This window comes from Homo sapiens, chromosome 2, assembly GCF_000001405.40.
Source record: "Homo sapiens chromosome 2, GRCh38.p14 Primary Assembly".
Lineage (NCBI taxonomy): Eukaryota > Metazoa > Chordata > Mammalia > Primates > Hominidae > Homo > Homo sapiens.
Window position 1 is genome coordinate 191,397,997 of NC_000002.12, and position 20,341 is coordinate 191,418,337.

The 20,341-nt window shown below is 40.1% G+C and overlaps 1 protein-coding gene across 14 annotated transcripts in view; it reads left to right on the forward strand.

The window, feature by feature from the left end:
- MYO1B (myosin IB) overlaps positions 1 to 20,341 on the forward strand; it is a 179,983-nt gene that overhangs the window by 152,593 nt on the left and 7,049 nt on the right. For 6 of the 14 annotated variants that reach the window (XM_047444410.1, NM_001130158.3, NM_001161819.3 and 3 more), the window contains 9 exons: positions 2,386 to 2,472; positions 2,753 to 2,839; positions 4,636 to 4,722; positions 10,119 to 10,193; positions 11,048 to 11,182; positions 13,070 to 13,176; positions 16,052 to 16,184; positions 16,521 to 16,673; positions 18,119 to 18,246. In XM_047444410.1, the coding sequence (XP_047300366.1) occupies positions 2,386 to 2,472; positions 2,753 to 2,839; positions 4,636 to 4,722; positions 10,119 to 10,193; positions 11,048 to 11,182; positions 13,070 to 13,176; positions 16,052 to 16,184; positions 16,521 to 16,673; positions 18,119 to 18,246 (992 nt within the window). The remainder of the gene's footprint in view (positions 1 to 2,385; positions 2,473 to 2,752; positions 2,840 to 4,635; positions 4,723 to 10,118; positions 10,194 to 11,047; positions 11,183 to 13,069; positions 13,177 to 16,051; positions 16,185 to 16,520; positions 16,674 to 18,118; positions 18,247 to 20,341) is intronic. The other 8 variants (XM_047444412.1, NM_001330238.2, XM_047444413.1 and 5 more) reach the window with 3 other exon arrangements.

A 20,341-nucleotide genomic window follows, 5' to 3' on the forward strand; every position in this document is an offset into this window, starting at 1 on the left:
CCTCACTTCCCAGTAGGGGCGGCCGGGCAGAGGCGCCCCTCACCTCCCGGACGGGGCGGCCGGCTGGAGACGGCTAACCCCCCCATCTCCCTCACGGACGGGGCGGATGGCCGGGCAGAGGGGCTCCTCACTTCCCAGTAGGGGCGGCCGGGCAGAGGCGCCCCTCACCTCCGGACGGGGCGGCTGGCCAGGCGGGGGGCTGATCCCCCCACCATCCTCCCGGATGGGGCGGCTGGCCGGGCAGGGGGCTGACCCCCCCTCCCCCCTCCCGGACGGGGCGGCTGGCCGGGCGGGGGGCTGACCCCCCACCTCCCTCCTGGGCTGGGCGGCTGGCCGGGCAGGGGGGCTCCTCACTTCCCAGTAGGGGCGGCTGGGCAGAGGAGCCCCTCACCTCCCGGACGGGGCGGCTGGCCGGGCGGGGGGCTGACCCCCCCCCACCTCCCTCCCGGACGGAGACGCTCCTCACTTCCCAGACGGGGTGGCTGCCGGACGGAGGGGCTCCTCACTTCTCAGACGGGGCGGTTGCCAGGCAGAGGGTTTCCTCACTTCTCAGACGGGGCGGCCGGGCAGAGACGCTCCTCACCTCCCAGACAGGGTTGCGGCCCAGCAGAGGCGCTCCTCACATCCCAGACAGGGCGGCGGGGCAGAGGCGCTCCCCACTCAGATGATGGGCGGGTCAGGCAGAGATGCTCCTCACTTCCTAGATGGGATGGCGGCGGGGAAGAGGCGCTCCTCGCTTCCTAGATGGGATGGCGGCCGGGCAGAGACGCTCCTCACTTTCCAGACTGGGCAGCCAGGCAGAGGGGCTCCTCACCTCCCAGACGATGGGCGGCCAGGCAGAGACGCTCCTCACTTCCCAGACGGGGTGGCGGCCGGGCAGAGGCTGTAATCTCGGCTCTTTGGGAGGCCAAGGCAGGCGGCTGGGAGGTGTAGGTTGTAGTGAGCTGAGATCACGCCACTGCACTCCAGCCTGGGCACCATTGAGCACTGAGTGAACGAGACTCCGTCTGCAATCCCGGCACCTCGGGAGGCCGAGGCTGGCGGATCACTCGCGGTTAGGAGCTGGAGACCAGCCCGGCCAACACAGCAAAACCCCGTCTCCACCAAAAAAAAACGAAAACCAGTCAGGCGTGGCGGCACGCACCTGCAATCGCAGGCACTCGGCAGGCTGAGGCAGGAGAATCAGGCAGGGAGGTTGCAGTGAGCTGAGATGGCAGCAGTACCATCCAGCTTTGGCTCGGCATCAGAGGGAGACCGTGGAAGGAGACCGTGGGGAGAGGGAGAGGGAGAGGGAGAGGGAGAGGGAGAGGGAGAGGGAGGAAGATGATTTCATGACATATGAAAAGTATATGGAATAGAGATTTCAGTGTACATAAATAAAGTTTTATTGGAACACAGCCACATTCATTTATTTCACAGATTGTCTGGCTGCTGTAGCACTACAGTGGTAGAGTCAAGTAGTAGCGATAGACTGTGTGACCTTCAGAGCCAAAAGCAGTTACCATCTGGCATTTTACAGAAAAAGTTTACTGATCCCTGATCTAGGTCAACGATACTTCAGAGCCTGTTCTGACCACTTTCCTGTGAGGAGACTTTGTGGTATGGTCTGGATCCAGAGGGGTAGTGCCCAGGCCTGGAGCCCTTTCAGAGGGTAGACGCTGGGTCCCGAGTCCAGCAACACTGACTGACCTTGCCCAGGCCCTCGACAACTTAAGGGCTTAGCAGTTGTCTCACAGCAAATGGCAAAACACAAATCTGAACATGTAGAGTAAGTGAAACTGCTGCCTGCAGGCTCTTCCTTGGCCTCATGGCTGGACCTTGGGGCCCCGTTTATAGGCGAGAGACCTTAGAGGAAGGACCCAAAGTCCACCTTGAAACCAGGTGTCCTCCTGGCCCCCATAAAATCAGTTTCCAGCAACTAATGGAAAGAAGTCACTGGTTTGGGATCAATGAGATCATTTTGGTTTTGGAGTTTTAAAAATATCTTGAATAAAAAGGACAGCTACAGTTACATTCCAGGCAATAATAATGAAAGAGATACAGTGGCCTTTAGAGGATCATTGGAATCCTCTGGCCCCTTTCTGAGAACTGTTTCATCCCACAGATGTGTGCCAGCTTGTGGTGCTGTAGTCAGATTTTTCCCATTGTGTATCAGGGTACGGGAGGCTGCTGTTCCAATCAAGTGGAAACCCATGCTTAATGATGTCTTCATTGTCCACCTTCTCATAGTCAGTTTGGGGCTAGTCACCTTCGCCTTCTTTAACCTGTTGATTTATCACAATAGCATGGGTGTTAGGACGATCATCTCTTCAGGTTTTTTTTTCAAGTCACTGTCAATTCCTTTATTTTTAAACATTCTCTCTTTTGGGTGATTCTGCCCTTTAGGCTCGAAAAATTCTGCGGGAACTGAAGCATCAAAAGCGCTGTAAGGAAGCAGTCACGACCATTGCTGCATATTGGCATGGGACCCAGGTAGGCCCGAGACCCCAAGGAAGGCGGTGGGTCAGCAGTAACGTCATGTGGAACCATGAACCCTCGGCTTCAGGGGCAGAAAATGTTTCACTGGCTTGAGCTACTGAGCACGTGTTTGCTTCTTGCTCTTTCCAACATTTTGTTGTGGGGTGGTGGCACATGCTTTTGCGTTTACCATTTGGTGGTGACTAGTGTCTCTCTTTTTCTTTCTTCATTGAAAACCAGCAGTAACCTTTCCTGCCTTAAACTTTTCTGTAACTCCTTTTCAAATGCATCACAGGCACGAAGGGAACTGAGACGGCTGAAGGAGGAGGCTAGGAATAAACATGCTATTGCAGTTATTTGGGCTTACTGGCTTGGATCTAAGGTACTTGATGCACATATCCCAACACTCCATCCTGGAATTCTGCAATAATCAGTCCTTACCTCTAGCCTATTAGGGGATGAATGACTACAATTAATAGTGGCTCACACTGGTGCATGTCCTAGCCGCCAGATTTAACACACCTGGAAACATTAGTTCAGTAGTATGCATAGGAAGCTTAGGCATGCATAGGTCAATAAAACTAATTGCTTACTAAAAAGGCACTAGTATCATTGCTCTTTAAAACAAAACAAAACAAAACAACTCTTAAATAACATGCATGTTTAGGTTCCCCCCCGCCCCCATTGATGAATGCTAGCAGTTTTTTAGAGGTTTTCTGGAGGGGTTGCGCATGTTGGGAATGTTCAAGTTTGGGCTTCAGTCGGTCTTCTGCAACATGTTGACAATGGAAATGCCTCTAACATATGTCTTAAAAATATTAATTTATGAATGAAATTTTTTTTTAGGCTCAGTGTGGCAGCTATTGATTATTATAAGCAAAATATTACATGTGCAAAGAATTATCATCTGTGATTTAACAGAAAACTATGTTCATGCACAGCTAGCTATGATTGCCACTGAAGAATCCCAGGAATTTCAGCATCAGCTGTTTGTTTTCAGAAACAAAGGCCTCCTGAAATACTCTCACTAATCCCCAGGCATAGTCGTGGGCTCTGTGAACATTTCACATACCCCAAGGGACAAGATTTTTAGATGTTTTTGTTACTTAGAAAATCAAAGTCATCTTTGCTAAAAATGTGTATTCCAGTTAGAAACACAAACATCAACAGAGTCCTGTGTTTTGAAGTCCACCTTGTCAATGTTGTAAGCCTATCTTATGAGAAAATGAGAAAAGTCAACATCTGCCTGCATAAAGAGCTAATTTGCCAAAAACTAACCAGAGTTGTTCATCTGTGCTTTTCCTGAAAATCTGTGAAGAACAAACTTGTTCCTCTAGTCAACTGAGGGAAATGTCATAGCAGAAGCAAAAGGACTCTTAGGTGGGTCTTGCTAAGATTTCTCCATCCAGTGAGTTCATTTCCCAGTCTCAGTACTATAATATCTTGAACAATCAGTGCCTATTTGTATCCTTTAGAATAGCTTGCCTAAGATTATTTTTTCCCTAAGAGTAATTTTTAAACCTATAAGTTTAACCTATAATTGCTTCAGTCTTCCTGTATATTTTACTTTTGCGACCTTAGCTAAAATTGAATTTTTACACGTGCCAGTTTTCATTTTTTGACTGGAAGGAATTTTTGAGTTTTGTTAGTTTTGGTTTTTGTTTGCACTTCAGAGAAATAAACTTTTTTCCTCCCAGTTTTCTAAGTGATTGTTCACAAGAGTTGTCTTTTTATCCATCCAAAGGGATGAACTCAGGAGTGCATAGCTTCTTCAGCCCAATGTGCTGTCAGCAAAGGGGAGTCTAATGACATCATTAGGGCTGTTACTCAGAGTTTGAAGGCTTTGATATGGGAGTGAAAGAGTGTGGAGAAGGCAGCGAACAGAGAGAGAGAACAGGAGAAAAAAGGAAAGGAATGGAAGTGAGGGGTGGGAAATGATTACCTTGGGAACCACACAGATTGTCCTTCTCTGGAACAGAATCTCAGTGCACTGAAAATATAAGCGCTGCACCAGCCTGACACCAATTCTTTGGGTTTAAATTGTTATGCACTGTTCCTCTGTCATTCTGAAATCCTTATTCATAAATTGGCTCTTCTGTTTGGTGGGATATCTTTTTCTGGTCATTTGTGCTGTCTGCATTGGGCTGTCTCTTTTATTTACTATCTAAAACATTCTAGGCTCGAAGGGAATTGAAACGCTTGAAGGAGGAGGCTAGGCGTAAGCATGCAGTTGCTGTCATTTGGGCTTACTGGCTTGGACTGAAGGTACTTCCTCAACCACTTGTTTCTGTCCAGGGTGAACTTCATAAAGCCTAGCACCTACTAACCCTGAGAAAATGATTGATTATGCTTGCTGATGGTCTGCACAGTCTTGTAGAATGTCATCTTGCTTAATTTTGTACCTTTTTCAGAAGAAACCTATACACTAATTTTTTTCTGATTTTGTGATTTCTATTTCTTTAAATAATAGGTTTAATGTAATAGCAATATGGCATGTTTTATTCAAGATACTATGTTATCAAAGTTCTAGTTTGTTATCTTTATGAGTGTAAAGTTGTTTTTTTAAAATCTGTGAGACACAGTTACAATAGTTGAGCTAAAAGCTGCCCTACATCCACAGTGACCAGCCTAGGGATGCCAGGCTTTTGTTTCCCTTTTTGTACCAATTCTGCTCCAATAATGGCTGCCTGCAGTAGAGCTTTCTTCAGAGCGACCATTGTTCTAATTGTTCAGCGTTGGAACCAAAGGGTCTTGCATCATTAAGCTTACAGATTTTGATGAATGAGTTCAGAGATTCAGAGATCAGTGGATCATTCATGTTAAAGAGAACCTCGAATTCAAATACCTTGTGATTATGGCAGGGTTTATTTTGAAGTGGTGCTTACTACAGTAGGGTACACTTATGTGTACAGAACTACACATAAGTAAATAACTCTGAGCTCTGAGAAGCCCTTAGAATATTCTTTACACCATGTAAGGATCTGATCTTCCAAATTCAATAATTAGTCACCATAGGAAGCCATCCATATTGCCTTTTTGGGATAATTAGGCCCCTTTCTGACAGTATTCCTTATCATTGTTTTTACTTTAATCCTATGACATTTAATCTTACTCCAAATATTTGAATTATTATCTGAGTAATCATTGACTCTAAGTCTGAACAACCATTAGAAATATCCCTGAATCCTGCTTTGAACAATCTGCATTTTTTTTCTGCAATTTCAGCCTATAAACTTTAGTAAATTATCCTTTTTGATTATACTGAATATTCACCAAGTAATATTTGAAGTAATTAAGAAGTAACTTAAATATGAATTTTAACAGATGTTCTATTTGAAGAACTCCAAACAAGCTCTATAACCGGTTTTTTTAAGTCAAACAAAAGTAAACATTTTCCCATTTAACTCACATCTTTAGTTTTCTGGGTTTAACTGCATATGATTTCAAAACATTTTTGCATTAGGGGTGTACACTAGCAACCTACAAAGCAAATTCAGTTTGTAGGGGAATATTATTTTAGCAGAAGTTAACTGGGCTTACTCTAGACATAACTTTTTTCCTCTCAGTCTCCAACAAAACAGAGGTACTTTACTATATAACCAGTATTATTGTATGAAATAAGATCAAACTTACTTGAAGTCCAAGAATATAATAATTTTGTACTTTTTTTTTCTAAAAGAGAATCATGTTAATATGAATGATAATTTTGCCCTCTCAAATGATTGACTTTTCCTGTGGAAATAATTACAAAGTGCAGTGGGCCTTTTTAAGACTCCCAGTTCCCCAGGGGGCACCATCGTATATGCCAGCATGTTGTCACCAGGCTTTTAGTGTCTGTAGTGGTATTTTGGGAGAAATAACCTGCCCTGTCGAATATCAAAATGCATATAGCAATGAGCTCAGTTATGAGGCTCAACTAAATATCGTATGACTTCAGGTATATTTTTAATGATATATTCTTATGTAACTTCATTTGTCTGCTTTCCTATACTATTATAATTTCAGGAGCCAATTATTAGGTAACATTTTTCTTCTCCTTGTCCCTTCTCACCTTAGTTTGAGATTAGAAATGTTTGTGGATCTGACAGCTCTGTGGCTAAAAGACAGATGATAATCAGTAACTAGAATATGAATACAGGCATACCTCAGAGATATTGCAGGCTCAGTTCCAGATCTCTGCAATAAAGTGAATATCACAATAAAGTGAATCACACAAATGTTTTGTTTGCCAGTGCAAATAAAAGTTATGTTTACACTGTCTCTACTGTAGTCTATTAAGTATCTAATAGCCTTATGTCTAAAAAGCCAAAGTACATACTTTACAAATACTTCATTGCTAAAAAATGCTAACCATCATCTGAGCCTTCAGCAAGTTGTAATCTTTTTGCTGGTGGAGAGTCTTGGCTTATCTTGATGTCGATGGCTGCTGACTGATGAGGGTGGTGGCTGCTGAAGGTTGTGGTGGCTGTGGCAATTTCTTAAAATAAGATAACAATGAAATTTGCCACATAGATTGACTTCCTTTCCTGAAAGATTTCTGTATAGCATATGTTGGCATTTGATAGCATTTTACCCAGTGTAGAACTTCTTTCAAAATTGAAATGAATCCTCTCAAACCTTGCCACTGGTTTTGTCAACTAAGCTTATGGAATATTCCAAATCCTTTGTTGTCATTTCAGCAGTGTTCACAGCATCTTCATCAGGAGTAGATTCCATCTCAGGAAACTACTTTATTTGGTCATCCATAAGAAGCAACTCCTTGTTCATTTCCATCTTATCTTGAGATTGCAGCAATTCAGTCCCATCTTCAGGTTTCACTTCTAATTCTAGTTGTTACTATATCTGCCACATCTGCAGTTACTTCCTCCACTAAAGTTGTGAGCCCCCTCCAAGTCATCCATGAGAGTTGGAATCAACTTCTTCCAAACTTCTATTAATGTGGCTGTTTTGACCTCCTCCCATGAATCTGGAATATTCTTAATGGCATCCAGACTGATGACTCTTTTCTGGAAAGTTTTTAATTTACTTTGCCCAGATCCACCAGAGGAATCACTGTCTATGGCAGGTATAGCCTTATAAAATGTATTTCTTAAATCATAAGACTGGGAATTACTCCTTGATCCATGAGCTGCAGAATGGATGTTGTGTTAGCAGGCATGAAAACATTAATCTCCTCGTATATCTCCATCAGAGCTCTTGGGTGACCAGGTGCCTTGTCAGTGTGCATGAATATTTTGAAAGTTCTCTCTTTTCTGAGCAGTAGGTCTCAATATGGGGCTTAAGATAGTCAGTAAACCATGCTGTAAGCAGATGTGCTGTCATCCAGGCTTTGTTGTTCCATTTATGGAGCACACAGGCGGAGTAGATTTAGCATAATTCCTAAGCTGTAGGATTTTTATAATGGTAAATGAGCATTAGCTCCAACTTAAAGTTAGCAGCTGTATTATTCTTTAACAAGAGAATCAACCTGTCCTTTGAAGCCAGACATTAGCTTTTCCTCTCTAGCTATGAAAGTCTAGATGGCATCTTCTTCCAATAGCAGGCTGTTTTGTCTACATTGGAAATCTGTTGTCGAGTGTAGCCACATTCATGAGTGATCTAGTTAGATCTTCTGGATAACTTTCTGCAGCTTCTCTATCAGCACTTGCTGCTTCTTTCCTTAACCTTCATGAAAAGTTAATAAACTTTTCTTCTGCAGCTTCCTCACCTCTCTCAGCCTTCTTGGAACTGAAGAGAGTTAGGACATTGCTCTGGATTAGGCATTGCTTAGAGGATATTGTGGCTGGTTTGATCTTATATCTAGACCACTAAAATTTTCTCCTTATCAGCAATGAAGCTGTTTCACTTCCTTATCATTTGTATGTTCACTGGAATAACACTTTTAATTTCCTTCAAGAATGTTTCCTTTGCATTTATAACTTGGCTGTTTGGCACAAGGGTCCTAGCTTTTGGCCTGCCTCAGCTGTTGACATGCCTTCCTCACTAAGCTTAATCATTTCTAGCTTTCAATTTAAAGTAAGAAGTGTGTGACCCTTCCTTTCAGTTGAACACTGAGAAGCCATTGTAGGATTATTAATTCAATATTAATTAATTTCTATATTGCTCTGTCTTAGGGAATAAGGGAGGCCCGAGGAGAGGGAGAGAGATGGGAGAATGGCCAATGGGTGGAGCAGTCAGAATACACACACTGTCTCTTGATTAAGTTCACCATCTTACAGATAGAAAAATAATGAAAAAGTTTGAAATATTGTGAGAATTATCAAAATGTGACAGACACAGAATGAGCACATGCTGTTGGAAAAATGGTGCCAATAGGCTTGTTTGATGCAGGGTTGCCACAAACCTTCAATTTGTAAAAACTCAATGTCTGCAAAGTGCATTAAAATGAGGTATGCCTGTAAAAAGAAAAACTGCCTATAAGGTATATGTTACAGTTTTTAAACCTTAACAGTCTTTAGAGGTAGAGAATGGGTCTGGTGCAAAAATGCTCAGAGGGACCAGGTTGGTCGTACAGATGAGGAAAGCATCAGATGGGAGGTGGATCAGAAGCAAAGGGACTCGTGTAGTTTGGAGCGTGCATGCCTCATCTAAAGGCAACAGCAGCTACTTTGGTCTCCCTGGCACTTATTTTATAGGACTAGGCCTCAGTGTTGCTAGATCTTAGACAACTTTAAGAGAAATCTGCAGTCTGAATTGTTATATTGAGTTCTTAACTTAAAAATATGCATACAGAACATTTATCTGTAAACTGAATTTGGATAGAAGATTACTAGCTTACATCCCGTAATGTAGAAATATTTTGAACATGTGCAGTTAAACCTAGAAAACTAGAAAGAAAAGAAAAAAGATATGTAATATCTGAATTATTCAGATAGGCTAATATTTTGCTAAATTCTAACTCTCCCATTTGTATCTGGATGGTAATAAATACTTAAGATATTTTTCCTTCAATTTCAAAATTTAACTATATAATTTATTCATTTGTTATACAAACACTCCACTTTGTTACTGTTATTTGTTAGACATTAGTATATGAAGTAAATATAACAATGTAGCAAGGAAAAAATGTGTGAACTAAAACTATAATATGATGTTTTAAGTGCTCTGATAGCATTAAGTATAAAGTTTGGTGGGAGTAGAGATGATAGAGAAGAATTAATGCAATGAAATGGAAGATAATGGTAGTTTCAAAGCTTCTATTTAAATTCTTAGCCATATTCAGTTCTCAGTGTGTAGGCCTTATCTTCTATGCAAGGCTTTTGGAAACTGATACAGTTCTTCAGACTTTTTTTTTCTTTTTGCCTTTTACAAAACAATCTGAAGAGAACATTATTTTATATAATTTTTAATGTATTTTAATTGGGGATGAGTTTGCAGCTGTGCCTGTAAAATGTTTCTTGTCAAATCATCAGATTCTTCAAAAACTACTAAGAGGATTTAAAACATCAATTCATGCTGGTTTCATCATTTTACATTTCTTAATTTCTTTCTCTCTGACTTAAGATCCACTATATGAATGTGTTTCAATTATTTTACTAAATCTAGAAAGGACACTTATAAACTGACTTGTTTGACATTTTTTCATTTTTAATAGAGGTGTATCATTATGGACCTGTACCAGCCACACATTAACCACTGTAACCTACATCTTCTTTTTAAAGGTACGTAGAGAATACAGGAAATTCTTCAGAGCCAATGCTGGAAAGAAAATCTATGAGTTTACGCTTCAGAGAATTGTAAGTTGACACTTTATATCTGTGGATAATCAGCATTGTGGAATTACCCACCTAATATCACCAACTCCATAAAATGTGCCTTTTCCTAAATGACAAAAGTGACTTTTTAAATAATAATTAAATCATAGCTGTGACACTGAGAGTTAGTTATCTTTTAAAATCATCTTCTTCCAAATTCTGGTAGAATTGTGTCAGAAAGAGTTGTTAATGGCCCGTATATTATTAATACAGTGTTTGCCTTATTTGACAAGAGAGAACTTTTGGGGGAAAGTGGATCCAAGAAAGCCATGACTTTACCCTGTGAAACTGCCATGAGCTGTGGCAGGGCAAGGCTGGCAAGCAAATTAGTGGGGAGAGGGGTGACAGGGAGCCAGGCTGTGCAGCTCCACCCACATGGACTCTGGAGTTCTCCATCTTTCAGAGAGGTGTATGTAGTGCTGAACAGACTGCAAACTCTGGAGCCAGCCCCCACTGCCACTTAGTGTGACTAAGGAACTGGATTTTAAAATTTAATTTAATTTTAGTTACTTAAAATGTAAATATAAATAGCCTGTGTGACTAGTGGCTGCATTTTAGACAATACAGCTCTATAGAGCTAGCTGGTATTAGCATTAGTGTTAATATGAGTGTTAGCATTACTATTCTTCTTTTCTCTTAACCATTTGGTAGAACTCATATTTCCCCAACCAGTATGAAAGAGTGGAGTAGAGACTTCCCAGATGAGTTACAGTTCTATAAATTCCAAAGTTAAATAAATTCTACTATTGTCTCGTTTATTTGATCATGATGTATGTAAAACAGTGTCTTTTGTGGTATATTTTCCTCATGTAGTATTTTCTGTCAACCCAACACAGGTGCAAAAATACTTCTTGGAAATGAAAAATAAGATGCCTTCCTTATCTCCAATAGACAAGAATTGGCCCTCAAGACCTTACTTATTCTTGGATTCTACTCACAAGGAGCTAAAAAGGATTTTCCACTTGTGGAGGGTAAAAAATGTCATATTACATCTTTTCGGAGACTTTCTTATTTATTTTGAGTGTTTAAAAACACATAAAATCAAAACTGTTAACACATTCTTCCTTTGCCTCAAAGAGGATTACTTGAGGACTTTGGTGATTTTCCCCCATGCACCATATTGAGTTTCTACGAGAGCCCCTGCAGCGGCCCAGGCGTTCCCTGTGCGGTCGCCTCTCGGCCCTGGCTGGAACGGGGAGCACAGGGCTGCATTTTCTTTCCATTCCAGGTTCCAGCTGCTCTCAAGTAGTTCAGTTTTTTGTTCATTTGTTTCTCTCTTTGTCTAAAGGAATACTGTAGGACAGAGAAATCATAAAATTTGGACACCTTCAGGCAACATAGTTAAATCCTGCAAATTGAAGAGTTTACTTTATCAGATGTACAGAACAGATAATCAGATAATACATGTGAACACACACACTTTGATGGGTGGGAAAAAAGGCTTTTTCCTGTCCCTAAAGATAGTAACACATTCTCTATCTAAATTACAGGGAAGCTGGAAATCTGTTTTATACTGCCTTTTATTTTAGCTCTCTTATTTTGTATAAGAGGACATGGCATGTAATTTAGATGTTGCCCAGCATGGAACACGTGGGGCACTTGTATAGATGTTGACCTTACTTCGATAACCTAGTCAGTTGATATGTGGAATGTTAAATATATGCAGTTATCAGATGTAATAAAATCATGAGATGGAAGGGCATGTATTTAGTAAATGAATGCTCAGTACACACATCCTCCAGGAAACTTTCCTGCCCAGCACGGTGGGCTTGTTTTTTTGTTAGAATCATCTATGTATAGAGTGACATTATTGCTGATTAGCTTGATAAGTGGTACCATACAACATAAGGAACTAGATTCTGAGTTCTGTTCTCTAACAGCAAATTTGGCGAGGTTCATGAACCTCTTAATGGCTTGTCTCCTTTCTTGAGTCTAACCCAGAAACTGTTTTCAGAAATAATGACAGGGAGCTCCCATTGCTGGGGATCTGCACCACCTCTGCCCTCCCCTGGCTTTGCAATCTCACCCATCCCTCCATTGGATTGGAGGTGGGAGATGAGGGCTGTTTATTCCTGAAGGGAGCCTTTCCATGGAAAGGGTCAGCAGCAATGCTCACACTTCTTCATGCAATTATTTCAGTAGCACTTGACCACACCTGTAACTGAATTTCTAGGAATGCTCATCTAAAAAACCTGGCCCTGCTCCTCTGGCCACTGTCTCCTCTCATTGCAGCTTCAGGGATGGAGTGAAAGGGGATATCTCAGGTCCCTCATCCCTATTGTAAAATGGTAGTGGGGGGATTTGGAGCAGTGGTTTTCAAACTGTCATAGCATATTTGTGGTCATGAAATCAATTTAGTGGATTACTACCAGCGTTTTTCAATAAAATGCAATAGAATAGAAAATAGCAGAGTGTACAATATATAGAAAGGATTGAGTATTGTTTTGTGACGCTTTTGTGTCAGTTTTCTCTGTATGTGTGTGGAAATGTGCTTAGTGGATTGTGATGCACAATATTTTTACTGTGAGTCTCTCTAGAAGAGTGACAGCCTCAGGACTAGAGGATTTCCAAGGATTGACATAGTGGGAGGAAATAGTACTTGCAAGGCCCGTGCCCACTAGGCCCTGGTGTGTTTTGAAGAAGCATTCCAGGTTCTGCAATACAAATAATACTCTGACGTTTTCCAAGACAAACTTTTTAAAACCCACAAGGGAAAAATGTTTTTGGCCTTTTTTAGTGAATGTTTTGTACTTTCTCCCTTATTCTTGTTGCTGATAAATTGTCTTAGCATATTTAAGAATGAGTAATAATTTATTTATATAAATGATGTTTTGTTTCTTTCTTCTCATATCTCACAGTGTAAAAAATACAGGGACCAATTCACAGACCAGCAGAAACTTATTTATGAAGAGAAACTAGAAGCCAGTGAACTCTTCAAAGACAAGAAGGCTTTATACCCATCTAGGTATTATGGCTTTGCTTTACCCATAAAATTCAGGATTATAAAAGTTTCTCAAGTATATTTGTACGCCGTTTTGCCTGGTGTTTGATTTCAGTCTTAGATGAGTGATTTTTAGTTCTGTGAATCATTTTATAATCAGCTTGATGTAAACACATTTATTTGAGCTATGGCTTCTATAGTGCAGTTTAATGAAATGAGGTTACGATTGTTGGTTTCACTCCATTAGCATTAGCTCAAACACTTTACTAAATAATTAGAAGTCATTTAACATAAAAATTATATAGGCTGTTAAGATACGTTTGCATTGTAAATTCCTGTTCCTTTTCCGTAGTTTTCAAAGACTAGCCAAATTTCTGTTGGCAATATACTTTAATCACCATTCCAGTCTTCCTGCCATAGCAAGCAAGGTCAGAAACTTATTTGTAAGGTAAATGAAAGAGCGAGCCAGGACAGTACTTTTTGAGTGTTGCTTGAGCACTGGTCTGTGGTGCCCTTTGGTCTGCTAACTCAACGGATATGACTTCTGTGGCCTGTACAGCACGTTCAGTTCCTTTATTTTAGACACCGTGGACTCAGAAAAAGAAGGAACACCAATCCCAAGTTCAGCAAGTGAAGTCCTTGGTAAAGACTGTTTATCCCAATAGTCTTACATCTCCTGCATTCATCACTTCCTCCCAGCAATCTAATCCCATTTTCATCTGGTGTTTATAAAAAAGTAGATTGTACAATTTCAAGCCAAATCTGTAACAACTTTAAGCTTCTTCCAATGAATGGCCAAAGAAAGAATGTATTATATGCTGAGTATATTCACATTTATTACGTAAATTATGTTTATATTCTCTGTGACTTTATACACATTTAAAATATCTTCCTTTTAAAGGATTAAAGGAATATACATTGCCAGACTCACTGGGTTTAAATATTTTAAATTGTACAACTTCATTGGTTAGCTGATGTGGCTACTTGAGGTGATACATACTCCCTTAAGTCAAACACAGTGTCTAAATCCAAAGTTGTCCAAAGTGCCTGTTATATAAAGCATATTCAAACAGGAGAATTTGTCTGTATGCTTGCTTCAGCAACTAATTTTATTCAGCTTTTTTTTTATACATTTTTAAATTAGGGAATAACCTTCTTAATGAACATTTCCTGTGGATGACTCTTCAGAAACTACAGGCTGGAAAATACATCTTTGAGGAAACAATTTAAAAGCCTGTTAGCATTTTTATAATTTAAAACACAGTTGAATAGGAACCAAAAAAAGTTAACTTCAAGCCAAGTCCTTTTTGGGTAGTCTTATCAGTTTTCAGGGATAGTGGCACACTCACCCCACAGCAGTGAGAGAGGTGGAATAATTTAGCCTCCCACCACCCTGCAAAGTGGCAGCTCTTATGGGAGTTGGCCTTTTATATCCTGAGAGCTGTGAAACGCTGACCACCTACGTGGATTTTTCTTCCCTTATCCTCCACCCACAACATAAGCATTTAAATTTGTATTTGCAAATTGCCAGAACTTTGTAGCTCAAAATGAAGCTTATAGATTCCTTGAAGCAGCAGTTTTTCCTTGGTGCCTTTGATGAACCTGTCCTGAAAGAGTCCCCCGACAAGTCTTTAGGGAAATTGATATCTTAGTGATAAGTGTACAGTTAACCTTTTACAAAAATTAGTTTGTTTGGGAAAAAAAAAATTGCCCTGATTCTGAATGTTTGCTTTGGTTACTTCTGTCCATTTAGAGGCATATTCTAGGAGAAGAGGCTTGATTCTCCTTTCATATACAGATGCTGCTTAACTTATGATGCAGTTACACACAGATAATCCATCATATGGGTTATGAGTGATTTCTATCTTGATTGTTCCATGTGATGAGATTATTATCAAAGTCCTGCCCACCAAATGCCATGATCACCTCAAAAATATATTTGAAATAGGTTTAAGGTTTCATTTCCAACTTATATTTAGGACAGATGCAAGCGTAATGTATAAAATAAATTGAAGTCAATTTTTATGAAGTTGTCATATGTCATATGAAGTTGAAAATATCATAAGTTGAAAATGCATTTAATACACCTAACCTACTGAACACAATCACTTAGCCTAGCCTACCTTAAACATGCTCAGCACACTTACATTAGCCTACAGTTGGGCAAAATCATCTAACACAAAGCCTGTTTTATAATAAAGTGTTGGATATCTCATGTGGTTTATTGACCACTGTACTGAAAGTGAAAAACAGAATGGTTTATGAGCACCACTGTAAAGCTGAAAAACCCTAAGTCAAACCAAGTCAGAGACCATCTGTATTGCCTACTTAGAACCACAGTTACATGTTAATATTAAGTGTTCTATAGTTTTCTTCTAAAGTGATTGCCCTGGATCTGTTCTTTCCCAGAAGGCCTATTGATTTTCTTATTCTCTGCAAGAAATGAAATTTTTCTTTAGAGCAGGTGATGGTAATGATTTCAGCTCTTTTCACTGCCACATATTGTTTGAAGGCGTTAGTAAATCCTTTGTGAGCAGCTGTTAACTTTATATTAACAGATTAGAAGAAATTGCCTTTTCCTTCACATGAGGCCATGTACTTGAGTCTTAGCTGTTGTTCTTATGAGTGATTTCTGTCTTGATTGTTCCGTGTGATAAGATTATTATCAAAGTCCTGCCCACCAAATGCCATGATCACCCCAAAAGTGTATTTGAAATAGGTTTAAGGTTTCATTTCCAACTTATATTTAGGACAGATGTAAGTGTAATATATAAAATAAATTGAAATCAATTTTTATGAAGTTGTCAGCTACTCCTTAGAATCAACTGACCTGTTTCCTTTTTTTAGTGGTACTTTCATTTGAAACTATTTCTAATGTGCAGGAATTTTTTTCCTTTAGTGTTGGGCAACCATTCCAAGGGGCTTACCTGGAAATCAACAAGAACCCCAAGTATAAGAAACTCAAAGATGCCATTGAAGAAAAGATCATCATTGCTGAAGTCGTGAACAAAATTAACCGTGCTAATGGGAAGGTAAAAATGCTAACCTTGAAGACTGATAAGAAGTACCTATTAGTTGGGATAGTCACCCTGTTTTCTGAATGTAAAAATTTGCATTTCATGTTCTCAGTAGAGTTAACTATGAAGGCGGCTATTTCCCCTTACCTTTAAGCTTAGGTGGAATTTTGCTTGTTCTCTGACATTTTTATGAAATAAAACATATTATTTATGTTCTTTACTGCGTTCTTGGTTTACATAGGTATGTTTGTTGAAGGATATTGGAATTTTTGCAAATAATGCCTTAAACTCATGGACCATTTTTGAGTATTTGTGATCATTGGTTTTATACTATTTTTTATTTTGATTTAGAGTACATCTCGGATTTTCCTCTTAACAAACAATAATCTCCTTCTTGCTGACCAAAAGTCTGGACAAATCAAGTCAGAGGTTCCATTGGTGGATGTGACCAAGGTATCAATGAGCTCACAAAATGATGGCTTCTTCGCCGTCCACCTCAAAGAGGTAAAGGTTCAACAGAAGATTTCTGTGCTTAATCTCTCAGCCATTGATTTAAAAAATTTCCATATCTGATAATCCTATCGCAGTTTATATATCTGCCTTGCTAATTTGCAAATTTTGGATATTCACCCCTATGTAAAATCTCCGACTCAGTTTTTCAGTAATTGAATAAAGTTAATCACTTTTATTGGCCAGTTTACTTTACTTTTTGAGACTAATACATAGAAATATCAAGATGTTTTAAATTTTGTTTTCTCCTGTTTTTTCTTCTATGTATCAACTTAGTAAATGTCTTAATGTTCATCTCTAATCTGGGGGTTTACATTAAAGGATACAACTAAAATAAAATAACCGCCAGTTAATTTTAACCTAAATAATTTTTAGTGTTCTGTGCCTTTAGCTTAACCAGGACTCCTGGCTTGGATGCAGTGGTTACATGTAGGTTCTGGAGTTGGTCTCACTCACTTTATGATAATTTTGGCCAAGGCATTTAATTTGTGTGTGCCTACCTACTTTTTCTCATCTTTAAAATGGGGATAGTAAGAGTGCCTACTTCATAGCATTGTTGTAAGGATTAAGGATTAAATGAGACACTGGAGGAACAGGGCCTGTCACATAACACATAGTCACTGAATAAACAAAAGTTAACAAATATTGATCATATGTAGGGACATGTGTCTAGCTAATAATGTTACTCTCTGGCCAACCCTAAACTTAGAAAAATCCCCAAAGCTTCCCTTAGCCTGTTTACCCTACTTTGGATCTTAACTTAAAGGGGGCATATCAAATACTAGGACAGTGATTCTCAACCTCAGTGACACATGTAAACAGCTTGGGAACTTTAAAAATTCTGATGCCCAGGCCATACCCCTATGAAATCAAATTAGAATTTCTCAGAGGGGGCACAAGCATCATGTTTTTTTTTTTGTTTTGTTTTGTTTTTTTTTTGAATAAACCCAGATGATTCCCTTGCACAGCTAAGGCTGAGAGCCACTGCCCTAGGATATTTGTTGGAAGTGTTGTCATTAGGGTTTTAACCAAATCACTGAAAAGTTTTTTAATCAAGTCCTTCAGAAGAGTTGCGGGATAGGTCCATGCTCCTCAAACCTGAATGTGTAAACCCATACCTGGAGGTTGCGTTGTGGTTTCATATTCACTGGGGCTGTGGTAGGGCCTGAGATTCTGCTTTTCTAGCAAGCTCCAAGTGATGCACATGGTGCTTCTGCTGCATCCACCGACTTTAGGTAGAAGGGGATTAGGTAACCTTACTAAAGTGCTCTGAGCAAGTTGGAAGAAACACTGCTTTTGTCATTATTGTTTACCTTGGGAGAATGGATTCCAGGATCTGATGTTTTAAAGAGACTGTAAGTATGTTTTTAGCCAAGCCTGTAAATATTGACCTTCTAAGGTATCTTTAATTATGACCGACTCTTGGTTTGTCCTTGCAGGGCTCAGAAGCAGCTAGTAAAGGAGACTTTCTCTTCAGCAGTGATCACCTGATTGAAATGGCCACCAAGCTCTATCGCACAACTCTCAGCCAAACCAAACAGAAGCTCAATATTGAGATTTCCGATGAGTACGTTCATGTATTGTTTGAAAACCCTTTTTCTCTTTCAGCTTTTTTGTTTTAGTTCAGCTCTCGATCTCATTCATTAATACAACTACTTATTAAGTACCAGGTATGTGTCTAGTAGTTGTTCCACATGATAAATGGGCAGTGAATGACACTGACCAAGTCTCCAACCTCATGTACCTGACATCCTAGTGGAAGAGACCAGTATGTACAAATAAAATGATGAAATAGTTGATAAGATTTTGGCTAACAAGTGTTTATGGAGGAAAAAAAGGGTTAAGAGTCAGAGAGTAGGCCAGGCGCAGTGGCTCACGCCTGTAATCCCAGCACTTTGGGAGGCCGAGGCAGGCGAATCACGAGGTCAGGAGTTCGAGACCAGCCTGGCCAACATGGTGAAACCGTCTCTACTTAAAATACAAAAAAAATTAGCTGGGCGTGGTGGCGGGCGCATGTAATCCCAGCTACTCAAGAGGCTGAGGCAGGAGAATCTCTTGAACCCGGGAGGCGGAGATTGCAATGAGCCGAGATCGTGCCACCGCAATCCAGCCTGGGTGACAGTGTGAGACTCCGTCTCAGAAAAAAAAAAAGAGTCAGGGAGGCCTCTTTGATGTGGTGACATCTGAGACTGGTATAAATTTGAAATTTGCTTCTTCAATTTCTCATTAGGGTTCTGAATATAGAAGTTAGTTATTTGCATACAGGTTGGGGCATCCCCAGATTTATTGTATCTATCTATGTAAGTGTTTTGGAGAAATCTGAGTTACTGTGTTGATTATACTTAATTGGTTACCTTTCAATAGATTGTTTACCTGCTTATATACTTCTTTGCATGTCTAGATTGCTCAGGAAATTATATTCTTTTCTAATTAAGAATTTTCTAGTCTATTCTGTTTCAACTCTTCCTAAAAGTCTTTCTAAAATAAATTTACACCCATTTCTGCCCCTTTGTAAGTCAGACTCTCTTTGATATGTTAGGATTTTGCAGTGCTGTGGGCTTTTCTTAAGTTCTCATTGAAGTGTTTAGATTTGGGTGGGAGGTTGGGCTTCATGTATACTCTATATTGGAAATTGCTGTTCGGACTAAATAACTTTTCTTGTTAATGAGATCTTTCTCATAAAGAAATTAGGAAAAAAATAATGGTTGGTGTGTTTCAGTTAAGGATTTAACACGTTAGGGCCTATTAGAGCTTTAAAATCCCTTTATAATAGTTGAAGTTTTTCATAATCTGGGAGAATGGGCTTTGGTGGGGCTGCTAATTCTCACTCACCATGGGAAGATCGTATGTATCCCAGACAGCAGAAGCTCCTCAGTGTACAGACGAAGCAGTCTCATAGTTGTCCCACTATGTGAATAAACTCATCTTTACACAGAAAGGAAATCACACCAACATCCAGACCACAAAGTACTGCTATTTTTAAGCATTTCCCAAACCGGGATTCTAGGAACATTGCTTGTACAGGATGCTAATAACGATGTACTGTGAAAAAATTGTTCTCTGATGGAAATTTAAAATCTTTCTTCACTACATTACATCTCAGAGTCCCTGAAATCTTGTTGTGATTCTCCTGAGGAGCTTTGCGGGGATAGCGTGTGGCGTGAATCCTAAACATAGTCAACCACAGAGCTCCTTCAGCAGCTCTCACAGCTTGTGTTCGAAGGTGTGCCATCTGGGAAAGGGGGACAGTTCGCTTCTGGGCAGCAAGGGCCCTGCCCTGTCACAGAGGGCGTGTGATGTTCTGGATGCCATAAGCTTTCAGTAAACAGTTGTCTGAGCGAAGATTTATAATGTGGCCACATGAAGAAAACAAACATTGGGTAGCATTATAATGCCTTTCATTCTCCAGTGCCTAATTATTGATTGGTCTCATAAAAATAAAACAGTTCATAGGACTCTACATAGCACCCGTGGGTCCCTTCCCCAGGTGGCACAGGAAGCCTGCAGAGGAAGTTTGTAGGTAAGGATCGTAAATCTCCTTAGGGAGCATTTTGAATTTAAACGAAAATGTCCAAAGTCATAGGCAGGGGCGCCTGTTCCTTTATGTGTCAGCCCTAAGTGGCTTCGCTAGCTCTATAGAACCAGTGTTGAAAACCACATGC